The sequence below is a fragment of the Homo sapiens genome, chromosome 18, assembly GCF_000001405.40.
Source record: "Homo sapiens chromosome 18, GRCh38.p14 Primary Assembly".
In the NCBI taxonomy this organism is placed as follows: Eukaryota; Metazoa; Chordata; class Mammalia; order Primates; family Hominidae; genus Homo; species Homo sapiens.
Genome location: NC_000018.10, coordinates 12,392,202 through 12,406,979, shown reverse-complemented (window position 1 = coordinate 12,406,979; position 14,778 = coordinate 12,392,202). Strand labels below are relative to the sequence as shown.

Sequence of the window (14,778 nt, the reverse complement as noted above, 5' to 3'; positions counted from 1 at the left end):
TTATGACAGGAGGTAGGTTTACAATTTGAAGCCAGGTGCTCTCTGGTAGCTGGGCTCCTACCCTCCCACAAAACTGGGAGACGGGGATGACATTTCAAAGAGATGACTCCCAAGTCCTTGAGAAAATACATTCTTGAGTTATAAAACTGGGGGGAAATCTTATTTAGCTTTAAAAAAATGTACGTGTATCTCAAAAAGAATTTGTGATTACAACTTGGCAAATCCTCTAAGGAAAAAGAGTCTCCCTTTCGCATAAACTACTTTTTAGCTTTGCAAAGTACCCTGCACTGCCACAAACGAAGTTGAAGTGCACGGAAGTGAGATGCTTGTTCTAAGAAGAGGGTACTCTTCTCCAGGATGAGATAGGGCGAGAGGGCAGGGCCCTTGTCTGAGTCGGCTGAGTCTCAGCCTAGAGCAGCGCCTGGCGCCCCTGGGGCGTCCGTGGGCGTGGGGAGCGCATTTGTGCAGTGAGGCAGGGAAGTGGAAGAGCACACAGCATGACCCGAAAGACCTGGGCTACAGTCCTGGCTCCACCGTCCACTCACATTGACCTCTACCTCCTACAGCGTTAAGCTCAGGATGATCTTCCAAAGTTGGTGCTATTCTTCCCGTTTTACAAATGAGTTAACTGAAGTTCAAGCAGGTTTCAAAGCTCTCTACCCCATGATCACACGCTGAGGTGAGAACCCAGGTTACAAGATTCCCCCTCCCCACTGTGCTGCACTGATTCTAGATTATCACTGGGCCAGCTGTTGAACACTTCTTGTATGCCAAGCACTATTGAAAAAACATGAGGCAACACGCTTGTTCCAGGTCACATATCTAGGAGTTATCCCACCCAGAATTCAAAGCCACATCCTGATTTCAAAGTCCAGTCTTGCCATTTATTATCCTCTAGGAGTAGGAACAGATCTAGCTGTGGAACATTCATTCATCCAGTCCGTCTTGTTACCTGTCAAATGAGGATCATACTGCCCACCCCACTGGTGTGTGGTAAGGATTAGATGCATCCATGTGTGGACATTACGGTTTACTAGTATCTTTAGAACATCCGTTCCTTCTATCACTAGCTAAGGCTAGCCAGATAACTATCCCTTAGCATCTTTTTTTCTTTTTTCTTTTCTTTTCTTTTCTTTCTTTCTTTCTTTCTTTCTTTCTTTCTTTCTTTCTTTCTTTTTCTTTCTTTCTTTCTTCTTTCTTTCTTTTTCTTTTTCTTTCTCTCTTTTTCTTTCTTTCTCTTTCTTTCTTTCCTTCCTTCCTTCTCTCTCTCTCTTTCTTCCTCCCTCCCTCCCTCTCTTCCTTTTCTTTCCTTTCTTTCTTTCTTTCTTTTTCTTGTTCTTACTCTGTCACCCAAGCTGGAGTGCTCACTACAACCTCTGCCTTCCAGGCTCAAGCAATCTTCCCATATCAGCCTCCCAGGTAGCTGGAACTACAGTCACGCACCACCATCCTGGGTTAATTTTTGTATTTTTAGTAGAGACAAGGTTTCACCACGTTGGCCAGGCTGGTCTCAAATTCCTGGGCTCAAGTGATCCACACTCCTCAGCCTCCCAAAGTGCGGAGATTGCAGGCATGAGCCACCCGGTCCAGCCTCTTAGCCTTTTCTTTTCTAAAATATTCTAGAGAGGAGACACTGCAACCACCCTCATCAACGGATTCCAGGATCTCTGAAAACTTTGTCAGGAATCATTTCCTAGATAGATCCTAACCCCAAACCTGGATGCTTAACACCAGCATGATCACAATTATAGTATTGAGCACTGATGGAGCATTTGCCTTGGGCTGTGGAGTGACTCATTTAGTCATGGACAGATACTATTACCATCATCTTCATTTTACTGTCAAGGGGACTGAGGCACAGGAGGATCAAGTAACTTCTCCAAGAACACACAGCTAGGAAGTAACAGCTGCAATCAGAAACCAGGCATTCTGGCTGGAAGACCAGAGCTCTTACAATATGCCGAATTTGGTTCTGCCTACTAGATTGCTTAAACTGGGGGAGCTTTCGTGATTAATATTCATCGCTTTGCCTAAAGGCAGAGGCTATCCATTGACTTGCTACAATGTATCACAGAGCCACTATTTTAGCAGATCCCAAATTTAAGGCAGATCTGATTTCTTCTTACCAGTTCTGTCTTTCACTGTTGTTTGTTTGTTTGTTTTTTTTGTTTTGAGACAGAGTCTTGCTTTGTCACCCAGGCTGCAGTGCAGTGGTGTGATCTCGGCTCACTGCAACCTCTGCCTCCCAGGTTCAAGCAATTCTTGTGCCTCAGCCTCCCTTGTAGCTGGGACTACAGGCACACGCCACCACGCCTGGCTAATTTTTTGTATATTTAGTAGAGACGGGGTTTCACCATGTTGGCCAAGCTGGTCTCAAACTCCTGACCTCAAGTGATCTACCTCCTTCAGCCTCCCAAAGTGCTGGGATTACAGGTGTGAGCCACCATGCCCAGCCTTTCACTGGTTTTAAATTACATTATTCCTATAATTGTATATTTCATCACAGATTTTAAATGCAATGACTAAGTAAAATAGAGTACATAAGTGATTCCCATTATTTTATTATGAATCTTAGTACCATATTGTCTACTTCAACCTGTAACTTTTGTGGGTTTTTTGTTTTGTTCTGTTTTTTTCCAGACAAGGTCTTGTTCTGTTGCCCAGGCTGGAGTGCAGTGGCATGATCATGGCTCACTGCAGCCTTGACCTCCTCAGCTCAAGTGATCCTCCTGCCCCAGTCTCCCAAGTAGCTGGAACTACAGTTACGTGCCACCGTTCCAGCTAATTAAAAAAAAATGTTTTTAGAGACGGGCTCTTGCTATGTTGTTCAGGCTGGTCTCAAACTCCTGGACTCAACCATCCATCCCACTGAAGCCTTCTGAGTCACTGTGATTACAGACATGAGTCATCATACCCAGCCAACCCTGAGACACTTACGTTGCATTTTTTCCTAAACAGCAAACTCCAAAGAAACTGGAGACTTATTTTTTCAACCTATCTTTTCATATCTCTGTAGAAGATTGTCTGAGCTACCTAACTCTCAATAATAGGAGAATGTACTGCATTTGATACTCTCAAAATCCGTAACATTTCCAAAACCAAAGGCATGGATGCGTTTAAAGTTTTGTCCTTTCCTTTCTGGGATATGTGTGCAAGAGGCTATGTGTGGATTTTATATGATCATTCTCAGCTGTTTCTATTTATGTCTCCCACAGATTATGAGGTCCTCAGGGGTAGGAATGGATCTTTGTAAACCAGGAACTTAAATGAAGCATGTGCCCAATAAATATGTATTGAATTTAATTGAATTTTGGTTTTAAAAAAGTGTCATCATTTACAATAAGCATTTCCAATGAAAGCACATTGAGCAGGAGGCTGAGGAGACTGTGCGGTGTGGCGAGAGCTCGGTTTACTTGCTCCATGTCTGGACCACGTGGAGCATCCAGGTCTTCTCTTTTTGCCTTGTAGGAAGACTGAGTCCCAAATCAGGTAGCTCCTCGGAATAAAGACACTATTTAGTGGTGGAGCTGGACAGACGGAAAACTGTAATGAAATGAGAACAGACTTCAATCCCTGGACTATTACAACACAGTCTCAATGTTCTCTGCCTCTTCCCCTGCCACCCTCACCTTCAAATCTTTTTTTTTTTTTTTTTTTTTTGAGATAGAGTCTCGCTCTTGTTGCCCAGGCTGGAGTGCAGTGATGCGATCTCAACTCACTGCAACCTCCGCCTCCCAGGTTCAAGAAATTCTCCTGCCTCAGCCTCCCAAGTAGATGGGATTACAGGCACCCACCACCAGCCACCATGCCCGGCTAATTTTTGTATTTTTAGTATTTCATGTTGGCCAGGCTGGTCTTGAACTCCTGACCTCAGGTGATCCACCAGCGTTGGCCTCCCAAAGTGCTGGGATTACAGGCGTGAGCCACAGCATCCAGCCTCACCCTCAAATCTACTTCACACCCTGCTATCGGAATTCCACTGGGCGTCCAAGCCCTGGGGCAGATGTGGTCACTCCTCTGCAGCTTCCCCTCTGCAGTTACACATCCACCCGGATGCACCTCCCTCAGACTCACCACAGTGTGTTAAAATCATCTGCGTATTTCTCTGCTTCTCCCACTGGGCTAAAAAAATTTCTCTTTTTTTAAAAAATTATGTCTCTCTCTGTGGTCCAGGCAGGCCAGAAGTGAAGTGGTGTGATCATAGCTCACCGCAGCCTTGAACTCCTGGGCTCAAAGGATCCTCCCCGCTTCAGCCTCTTGTCCTGAGTAGCTGGGACTACAGGGGTGTGCCACCACGCCTGACTCTTTTTTCTTTCTTCTTTCTTTTTCTTCTTCTTTCTTCTTTTTCTCCTCCTCCTCTTCCTCCTCCTGCTCCTCCTCCTCCTCCTTCTTCTTTTTTTGTAGAGACAGGGTCTTGCTTAGTTGCTCAGGCTGGTCTCAAATTCCTGGCTTCAAACAATCCTCCTACCTCAGCCTCCAAAAGTGCTGTCATTTTATGGAATTACAGTTATGAGCCATGGCACCAGACCTAAAATTATTCTGAGATCAAGAACTATGTTATTTTTCTTCTTGCTGTTTCCAGAGTCAGAAGCATAGTAGGTACACGATAAATAAATAAAGTTCATCTTAAAGTCCTATGCTGACAGATACATCTTTTTTTAAGTCCACATTCTATTCTTGTCTCTCCCTGTTCCTCACTCCGTGTCACCTCCCATGGTCCAGAGCCAGCTGCATCGCGCAGGAGTGTGTTGGAAAGGTAAACTCTCAGGCCCCGCCTCACACCCAGGATGCAGCATCTCTGGGGTGGGGCCCGGGAACTCGTGGTTTGACCAGCTCTCCGGGAGACGCTGACACTAAAGGAGACCCCTCCCCGTCCTAGGGGCACTGGCCTCAGCCTACCTGAGCTATGGTGATTCCTGCACATGCCCTCACCTTCTTCATCCCAGGAACTGGTTCAGTTTCCTCCACCCAGAGAGCCCTGCTCTGTGCTGGTCCTGGAGGCATCCTCCTGGGAGGAGAGCAGAATACACAAGGCCCAGAAGCTGGAGGCTGGACTGTAGGGTCCCATGGCAAATGGCAAGAATTGAGTCCAGAAAGGGAGACGGGAGCCACAGCTCATGGCACAAGTTGTCACATGAATTACAAAAGGCTTTATAATTCATGGTGAGCTCAGACAGGTTTTAGAATTTGAGATTTGTGAGGCAAAACCGTTTAACTCAAGCTAGGTCCAGGAGGTAGGCTTGGCCGTCTCTGGGAGGCCAAAGTCAAGTGGAGATGAAGACGGCGAAGCCGGAAAGGGCCTCCTTTCTGGGAAGGCTTCTAGCCCCCTCCCCACCTCGGGTTTAGAGGTGACTACTGGATGCCGTGGAGCTGTCCTCTGCCATAGCACCTATCACAGTGCTGTGTATACTTATGTCCCCTGAGGAAGTGTCTTTGTTTGACTTTGTTGTGGGGGACCCTCATGTATTTATTATCTTTGTATTCCCAGTACCTGGAAAATATTAGGGACTTGACAACTTTTTTTTTCTTTTTTCTTTCTTTCTTTTCTTTTTTTTTTTTTAAGACGGAGTCTCACTCTGTTGCCCAGGCTGGAGTGCAATGGCGTGATCTCGTGTCACTGCAACCTCCGCCTCCAGGGTTCAAGCGATTCTCTTGCCTCAGCCTCCCGAGTAGCTGGGATTACAGGCGCACACCACCACACCAGGCTCATTTTTGTATTTTTAGTAGAGATGGGTTTCACCATATTGGCTAGGCTGGTCTTGAACTCCTGACCTCGTGATCCGCCCTCCTCGGCCTGGCATTACAGGCGTGAGCCACCGTGCCTGGCCTTTTTTCTCTCTTTAAGAGGCAGGGTCAGCCGGGTGTGGTGGCTCATGCCTATAATCCCAGCACTTTGGGAGGCCGAGGAGGGGGGGATCACTTGAGGTCAGGAGTTCGAGACCAGCCTGGCCAACATGGTGAAACCCCGTCTCCTACTAAAAATACAAAAATTAGTTGGGTGTGGTGGTGCGTGCCTGTAATCTCAGCTACTTGGGAGACTGAGGCACGAGAATTGCTTGAACCCAGGAGGCAGAGGTTGCAGTGAGCCGAGATTATGCCCCTGCACTCCAGCCTGGGCGACAGAGCAAGACTCTGTCTCAAAAAAAAAAAAAAAAAAAAAAAGAGACAGGGTCTCACTCTGTCACCCAGGCTGGAGTGCAGTGGTGTGATCATAGCTCACTGCAGCCTCAACCTCCAGGCCTCAAGTGATCCTCCCTTCTCAGCCTCCCAAGTAGCTGGGACCACAGGCACTATGCCCAGCTAATAAAAACAAAAGATAGTGTAGAGACAGGGTCTTGCTATGTTGCTCAGGCTGGTCTTGAACTCCTGGGCTCAAGCAGTTCTCCTGCCTTGGCCTCCCAAAGTGCTGGGACTACAGGTGAGAGCCACGGTGCTAGCCAGACAACTGTTTTTTGAATGAATGGGAATGACCTGCTCCTACTGCCTTTTTATTGTTTTTTCCTTTGGAGGATTTTCCAGTAAAAACAAGAAGACCTGCTAGACAAATTCCAAAAGAACTGTACCACTTCCACCTGGCTTTTGAGAAGAGAATGGGCAGTGTGGGGACAGGCAGAGGTGTCGTTCCAACCTGGGCTGCATGATAATGGATAACCCGAGGAGTTCTGGCAAGCGCTGAAGCTTGGAAGCAGCCGTAGGGACTTTCCTTCAACTGGACTACAGTGTGGCCTGGGCATTAGGTTTTGAGAAGCTCCCTGAGGATTCCGGAATGCAGTGAAGTTTGGAAACCAGGGAGTGGAGGGAGCATGGGTAGGCAGGGAGGCCAGGCAAGAAGCTGTTGCTCTAGATAGAAGAGACATGGGCACCTGCCCAGAGCAGTAGGACGAAGCAGTAGGTGCTTATAGTCAACGGGGTTCAGGGAGAAGGAAAAGAAGCACACCCCACCCCCCTTTCCTCTTTGTCTGTCACCTGCTCCTCTCCAGCACCCCTCCACTTATGGGGTCTGGCAGGTTGGCTTGCTGTGTCCCTCTCCATGCCCCAGCCACCTTGTGCCATAATTCTGGGTGATGTCAATATCCCCATGGATGACCCACCCAGAGGCCTGTGGTCCCTGGGCCTTCCTGTCTTTTTTTTTTTTGAGATGGAGCCTCATTCTGTCACCCAGGCTGGAGTGCAGTGGCAAGATCTTGGCTCACTGCAACCTCCACCTCCCAGGTTCAAGTGATTCTCTGCCTCAGCCTCCCGAGTAGCCGGGATTATAGGTGCCCACCACCACGCACAGCTAATTTTTATATTTTTAGTAGAGATGGAGTTTCACCATGTTGGCCAGGATGGTCTTGAACTCCTGACCTCAGGTGATCTGCTCGCCTTGGCCTCCCAAAGTGCTGGAATTACAGGCGTGAGCCACTGTGCCTGGCCTCTTGCTCACATTTTGAACTCTTTCACCTCAAAAATCTCAAACGCCAGTATCCCACTATAAGGACCTTCTTCCTCCCTAACAGAACCTTGACTTTGTGGTGTACCTACCTCAAACTCAGTGCCTCAGGGAAGCCGCCCCGCTTGCTGCAAGGCTGCCTTGTGGTCTGAGGGTCTGAGGTTCACTTAGGTGCCTTCATGTGACCCAGCACAGGCCTGGGAGACATGAGGGTGACTGCTGAGAGGCTGCCAGGAAAAAGACCCTTGGTCCAAAGAGCAAGTCTTCTCCATTGTTTAGCTTCTGGAACTGGTGTGGCCATCTCAATGCCAGCAGGAGGGTAAAAATCACCAGCAAGAAAGAAAACGTAAAGCCAGGCATGATGGCTTATGCCTGTAATCCCAGCACTTTGGGAGGCTGAGGTGGGCGGATTACCTGGGGCCGGGAGTTTGAGACCAACCTGGGCAACATGGCGAAACCCCATCTCTACTAAAAATACAAAAATTTAGCCAGGAGTGGTGGCAGGCACCTGTAATCCCAGTTACTTGGGAGGCTGAGGCAGGAGAATCACTTGAACCCAAGAGTCAGAGGTTACAGTGAGCCAAGATCGCCCTAGTGCACTCCAATCTGGGTGACAGAGTGAGAGTCCATCAAAAACAAAAAAAGAAAGAAAGAAAGAAGAAAGAAGGAGAGAAAGAAATTTTAAAAAAGCAAGAAAGAAAGAAAAAAAGAAAGAAGAAAGAGAAAAGAGAAGAAAGAAAGGAAGGAAGGAAGGAAGAAAGAGAGAGTAAAGGAACAGTTCTCAAGGACATAGCCACTCCCTCATAGTCTGCCCTGGCTGCCACAACAAAATCCCGCAAACTGGGCAGCTTAAACCCATTTACGCCTAGTATTCCATTATCGGAACGCTAAGCATGTGGGAGCTATTTATATCCTACTGCTCAAAGTTATTACCAAGGTCTGATAGCAAAAATTCAAAAAATTGCAACTTCAGGCATAAATGTGTTTAAACATCAATCATTTCTCAGAGTGCTGGAGGTGGGGGAGATCAAGTCCCTGGTGGATTTGGTGTTTGGTGAGGGCCGGCTTCCTGGTTCTTAGATGGTGTTTTCTTGCTGCGTTCTCACGTGGCAGAAGGGGTTAGGGAGCTCCCTGGGGTCCCTTTTATAAGGGCAGTCATCCTGTTCATAAGGCTCCACCCTCACGACCTGATCCCCTCCTAAATGCCCCACCTCCCAATACCACCACACTGGGAATTAGGCTTTGACATATGAAATTGGGGAACACAAACATTCAGTCTAGAGCAACTCAGCCCACCAGCGACCCTCCTTAGCCTCGGTCGTGGTTTTTTATTATAAATGGCTGCATTGTTGAATCCCATCTGAATGTATATGTATCTTTAAGCCCTCACTGGTCCCCCATCCTCTGAGCACAGTCTCCAGTCCTTCCCTCTTTGCCACCTCACTCAGGTGGCACCTGCTCTTCAACCTCATAGCCACCCCCAGCCCCCAAACACTCCATTAGCTCCTACTCCCGGCCCTCCTGTCCTGCCCATCCTACCTGTCCTGCACCTCATCAGGGCTAATCTGAGCTGCTCCCGCCTCCGGTCCCTCCATTCTGTCCCTCCGTGCTGCAGTCGGCCCTCTCTGGTAGGAGCCCAAATGACTCTGTGCTACTGGAGAAAGGGCAGGATCTTACCGATTGTCAAAGAAGACATTCCAGGTATCTTGTTTTATCCAGGTCCCTAAGGGTAATACATTCATCCTTGGTCATCACCCTCCCCCAACCCGGACCATGCTCCCCGCACCTCCTTGTCAGTTCGCGTTCCCTCTCTCTCTGGGTTGATGACTTTGCTGCTTGCCACGTAGAGAAAATTAATCCAAGAAGTGTGATCTCTATTGCCTTTGGGCCCTTTGGTTAGATACGGTGGAGCTGTATGTTGATTTGTGCTGGTTAAGGGCACAGGCTCTGGAGTGCGGCTGCTGGGGCCCACACTGGGTCACCCCTCATTCATGGCCTTGGACGGCCCACAGGTGGTAGTGAGTACTGACACAGTGTCAGACACAGGGCAAATATCCCATCTGCAGGAGATGCTGTCACGATCTGGACCCAGACCAAGCTCCCCACACTGCCCTCTGTCCTCAGATGACGCCTACCTCCCCAACTCTCCGCGGGGCCCGGGGTGGTGGGGGAATCTGCTCTGCAAGTCTTCTCTACTCAAATTTCGGTTTCTTCCACCCTGCATCCCACCCTTGATTATAAATATGGCCAAGTCTTTTTGACTTAAAAAAAATAAATAAATAATAAAGAGGCTGGGCGCTGTGGCTCACGCCTGTAATCCCAGCACTTTGGGAGGCCGAGGCGGGCGGATCACGAGGTCAGGAGATCAAGAACATCCTGGCTAACATGGTGAAACCCCGTCTCTACTAAAAATACAAAAAATTAGCCAGGCCTGGTGGCGGGCGCCTGTAGTTCCAGCTACTCGGGAGGCTGAGGCAGGAGAATGGCGTGAACCCGGGAGGCGGAGCTTGCAGTGAGCAGAGATCGCGCCACTGCACTCCAGCCTGGGCAGCAGAGCGAGACTCCGTCTCGAAAAAAAAAAAAGAAAAAAGAAGGAGAACTCCCCCTCTCGGCCCTTGCTTCTGTTTGTGGGAAACAAAGGAGCAATCCCCAATCGCCCACCACTCCAACAGAAAAAGATGCATTGTTTTTAAGTAAATAGTAAGTGGAGCCATGCCCTTTTTTAGAAGAGCGCTCCAGCAGAGACGCACCTGGCCCACCCTGCAGCCCTTGCGGAGAGGTCGCAGCAGGGCGGCGCATGCGCTCTGGACAGCAGCCCAGAAAGGCCCTCGCAGGCAGGCATGGGGGTGCGGGCGGCCAGGTGACACACGGGTCTGACTCAGCGACGCCCAGCAGTCCCTTTGTTGTTGTTGCAGTTTTATAGTTTCTGTAGAACTGGAAAGATGCCACCCAGAAGGGCAGGTGGCCACCTGTTGGCTGGCGGAAGGACACCAGGATGCAGCTGTCCCTGAGGTCCCCGGCTGAGCCTCTCAGGCAGGGAAATCAGGACTGTGTCTTGTCACCAGCAGGTGTGGGAATTAGGAATGAAGACTTCCAGGAAATGGAGAATTCTGAAGAAAAATTCGTCCCTTGCTGCGATGCCTCTTCTCCATTTCTTTGGCTTGAGAACCACAGTCATCTGCCTGGTTGCAAAAGCCCATTTTCACAAGGCAAAGGATGGATTACTCTCGCCATCCTAGCAGTTTATGGTGGCAAATGCCAACCCGTGCAGAGAAGCACTGGGAGTCTGTCTTCCAGGCTGCTCCACTCCCTGTCATGTCCTGCAATTTTTGCCCTCACTTCTCATTCAAGCCATTCAAAAGAATGGTCCATGCTTGCTCTCTCCAGCTTGCTGTTGTTCCTACTTAGTTCTTCTGCGACGTGCTGTAACGGGCTCCTGAAACTTGTCTCCTTAAGGTCGTCAACCATCAAACGTGCCAATCCAGTGGATACTGTTCAGCCCTCATCTTTCTGGACCTCTCTACGTCACTTGAACTCAGGTGACTCTTGCTGAAACTCCACTCCCTTGGCTTCCATGACACTCCCTTTCGCTGCCTCCTTTGCACACTCTACTTCTCCTCCATTCTTCTGTTCTTCTCACTCAAGGCCTCTCTCTGTGAGTGAACTCATTGAGTTTCACAGTTTCCACTGATTCCCAAACCAATATCTCTATATCAGATTTCTACCCAACCTTCATTCCCACACATCCAGCTACCTGCAGGCCATTCCCTAGGCAGCTACCAGAGCCTTCCTTCCTCAGCACGCTCCTCTTCCAGGAGGCACTGTTCAGGTCAGTGGCATCACTCAGGCACCCCAGGCTGGAGAATAGGGAATGACTGCTCACTCCTTACAGCCAACCAATCATCAAGTCCTCTGGAATTTACCTCTTACAGATTGTTTTGGTCCATTCCCTTGTCTACATCCTTTAAGAGGCAATAGGGGCTGGGCTCAGTGGCTCATGCCTGTAATCCCAGCACTTTTGGAGGCCAAGGAGGGTGGATTGCCTGAGGTCAGGAGTTCAAGACCAGCCTGGCCAATATGGCAAAACCCTGTCTCTACTAAAAATACAAAAATTAGCTGGGCATGGTGGGGCATGTCTGCAGTCCCAGCCACTTGGGAGGCTGAGGCAGGAGAATTGCTTGAACCTGGGAGGCTGAGACTGCAGTGAGCTGAGATCATGCCATTGCACTCCACCTGGGTGACAGAGCAAGACTCAGTCTCAAAAAAAAAAAAAAAAAAGTCTGGCACTGTGGCTCACGCCTATAATTCCAGCACTTTGGGAAGCCGAGGCAGGCAGATCACGAGGTCAGGAGTTCAAGACCAGCTTGACCAACATGGTGAAACCCCATCTCTACTAAAAATACAAAAAAATTAGCCGGGTGTGGTGGCACGTGCCTGTAATCCCAGCTACTTGGGAGGCTGAGGCAGGAGAATCGCTTGAACCCAGGAGGCAGAGGTTGCAGTGAGCTGAGACCACGGCACTGCACTCCAGCCTGGCAACAGAGCGAGACTCCGTCTCAAAAAAAAAAAAAAAAAAAAAAAAAAAGATGAAATAGGATTTAATAGTTGAAGACATGGGTTTGGAAAGGAACAAACCTGGGTTCCAGTCCTGGTTTCCCTTCTGCAAGTCACTTAATCTCGCTAAATGTCAACATCATTCATGAAGTGGGAATATTAGTAGCACTATGTGGTGGGACTTGTGAGAATGAAAGGAGAATAAGTGTGAAGTCCTTAGCACAGTGATGCGAGGCAGTGCACGATGTGAGCGAGCTCCTCTCAGGTTGCTGTTGTATGACCAGCCCTACTGTGCGGCCCCTTCAGCCCTGGCTGTGGCTCACTCCTCTGGAAGACTTTAACAGCTAGGCAGTTGGGATTTGCCCCTTGGGGCTCCCTCTGCTGGCATGCCCTCCAGGCCTCATAATGCCCGCCTGGGTGCCTCTCACGCCCCTCTGTCATCCTGCAATCCTCCCGCTGCCTCCGTTCACACCCAGCACATTGGTTCCTCATTACTGCACTTGTTTATGTTTGTGTTTCTCCCACTAGGTTAATGCATATTAAAGATGCAACTTTCTAGGCTCCACCCCTTACCTTTTGAATGGGCATTTCTGGGGTGAAAACCAGAAATAATACATATTAATGAGCAGCCCAGGCAATTACAATGCTCCCTAAAGTTTAGAAAGTAGTTCTGCATGGACTCTGAGCTCCTCAAGGATGAGACCTGAGCCTCCTTCATCTCTGTGTACCCAGGGTCTAACCCAGGTGGTGGCAAACAGTAGTCACTTGAACATTGCTTGTTCAGTGAGTCAAGGGTGACTCCTAGGGGGTTGTAAACTGGGAGTGGCTTGGCCATGGGGCAGCGGGGGCTCTGTCTAGTGTAATTACTGACAGAGCCGTCTAGTCTAGTGTGTTTCAAGCCGAGTCCGGGAAGCCCTATGACCTTATTGACCAGCTCGGGGGTAAACCGAGGAGTTTTTCAAGCAGTGGTCCTACTTTTTGTTTGTATATATTCAGATTCTATACACTGAAAGTCCATGTCAAATTTTCATTTTTACAAAAGACTGCTGCTAAAAATAAATAAGTTTGAAAACTACTGTATCAGAAAGTTTGTTTTAACTTAGAGAGAAAACCATTCTCCCAATAGGTAAGAAGATTCTGAGGGGATGTTTCTTTCCAATTTGTCATGGATATTTGCCTCATCTATTACCCCAGGACTATAACAAAACTAAGGCTGTAATGTTTCGCTGATCCTCAAATACAATGGTAGTAAAGATCTTATTTACAGAGACTTCGACCTGCCACGTTGTCAGAGCAAGTTGCAGAAGTAGCTACCTACTAGTGCCTAGCTACCTGCCAGCACCTAGCTATTCTAAGAACTTATAGAATACTGCTGGAATCCAAGGACATGTTCTCTTACTAAATTCACAAACATCTTGAGACTCAAATGGACAAGATGTACCAGTATATTATTAAAACAGAGCAGGACAGGCATGGTGGCTCATCCCTATAATCATAGTGCTTCAGGAAGCTGAGGGAGGAGAATAGCTTGAGGCCAGGAGTTTGAGACCAGCTTGGACAGCATAGCCAGACCTCATTTCTAAAAAAAAAAAAAAATTTTTTTTTTTTTTGAGACGAAGTCTCACTCTGTCACCAGGCTGGAGTGCAGAGGTGTGATCTCAGCTCACTGCAACCTCTGCCTCCTGGGTTCAAGCAATTCTCCTGCCTCAGCCTCCTGAGTAGATGGGACTATAGGTGCCTGTTACCACGCCCAGCTAATTCTTGTATTTTTTAAGTACAGACAGGGTTTCACCATGTTGGCCAGGATGGTCTCAATCTCTTGACCTCAGGCGATCCTCCCACCTCGGCCTCCCAAAGTGCTGGGGTTACAGGCGTGAGCCACTGTGCCTGGCCAAAAAAAAAAAAAAATTGTTTTAAATAGAACAATTAGCTCGGTGTGGTGCTGTGAGCATGTTGTCCCAGATGCTCAGGAGTCTGAGGTGGGAGGATCACTTGAGCCCAGGAGTTCAAGGTTATGGTGAGCTATGATCACACCACTGCACTGCAGCCTGGCCAACAAGTGAGACTCTGTCTCTGAAAAAACAGGAGCACATCCCTTTTACTTTCTGTGGTATGTTTCCTCTTTTCAACACCTACATAGAATTGCTGAAGTAAGGCCAGATGTGGTGGCTCATGCCTGTAATCCCAGCACTTTGGGAGGCTGAGGCATGTGGATCACCTGAGGTCAGGAGTTCGAGAGCAGCCTGGCCAACATGGTGAAACCCCGTCTCTAATAAAAATACAAAAAATTAGCCGAGCGTGGTGGTGGGTGCCTGTAATCCCAGCTACTTGGGAGGCTGAGGCAGGAGAATCATTTGAACCCAGGAGGCGGAGGTTGCAGTGAGCTGAGACCGAAACTCTGTCTCAAAAAACTCCGTCTCAAAAAAAAAAAAAAAAATTGCTGAAGTAAGTCTTTTCAATACACATCTTATGTTCTCCTCCTTACTTCTATTTCTGGGTACTTTAATTCTATCCAATCTAGCTTACAGAGCTTCTCACTAGGTTCCTAACAAACCATTTCCTTCTCAGCTTTCAAATGCCTTCTCACATAATGCCTTCTGGGATTGCGGTACTGTACTCAAAAGATGGCTTATGACAAGGAGTTTGGTGTACCAAAGCAATCATCACATTTTTTTACAAGAAGACACAATTGGGAAAAATCTAGAAACTTTATGATTTGAGTATACCATTGTGGTCAACTCTTTTAGAAAAATATTTGATCACTACCTAGTAAAAGGGTGATAAAGAATCTT

The 14,778-nt window shown here is 48.1% G+C and overlaps 1 pseudogene, besides 1 other annotated feature; it reads right to left on the bottom strand.

Annotated features, from left to right (window-relative positions):
• Positions 4,676-4,970: a silencer, noted in NCBI's record as "tiled region #1882; HepG2 Repressive non-DNase unmatched - State 10:DNaseD". NCBI's record gives its function as "represses a minimal TATA promoter and a strong SV40 promoter by Sharpr-MPRA in HepG2 cells {active_cell/tissue: HepG2}" and the evidence as "EXISTENCE:reporter gene assay evidence [ECO:0000049][PMID:27701403]".
• RNU7-129P (RNA, U7 small nuclear 129 pseudogene) lies at positions 6,507-6,568 on the bottom strand (annotated as a pseudogene).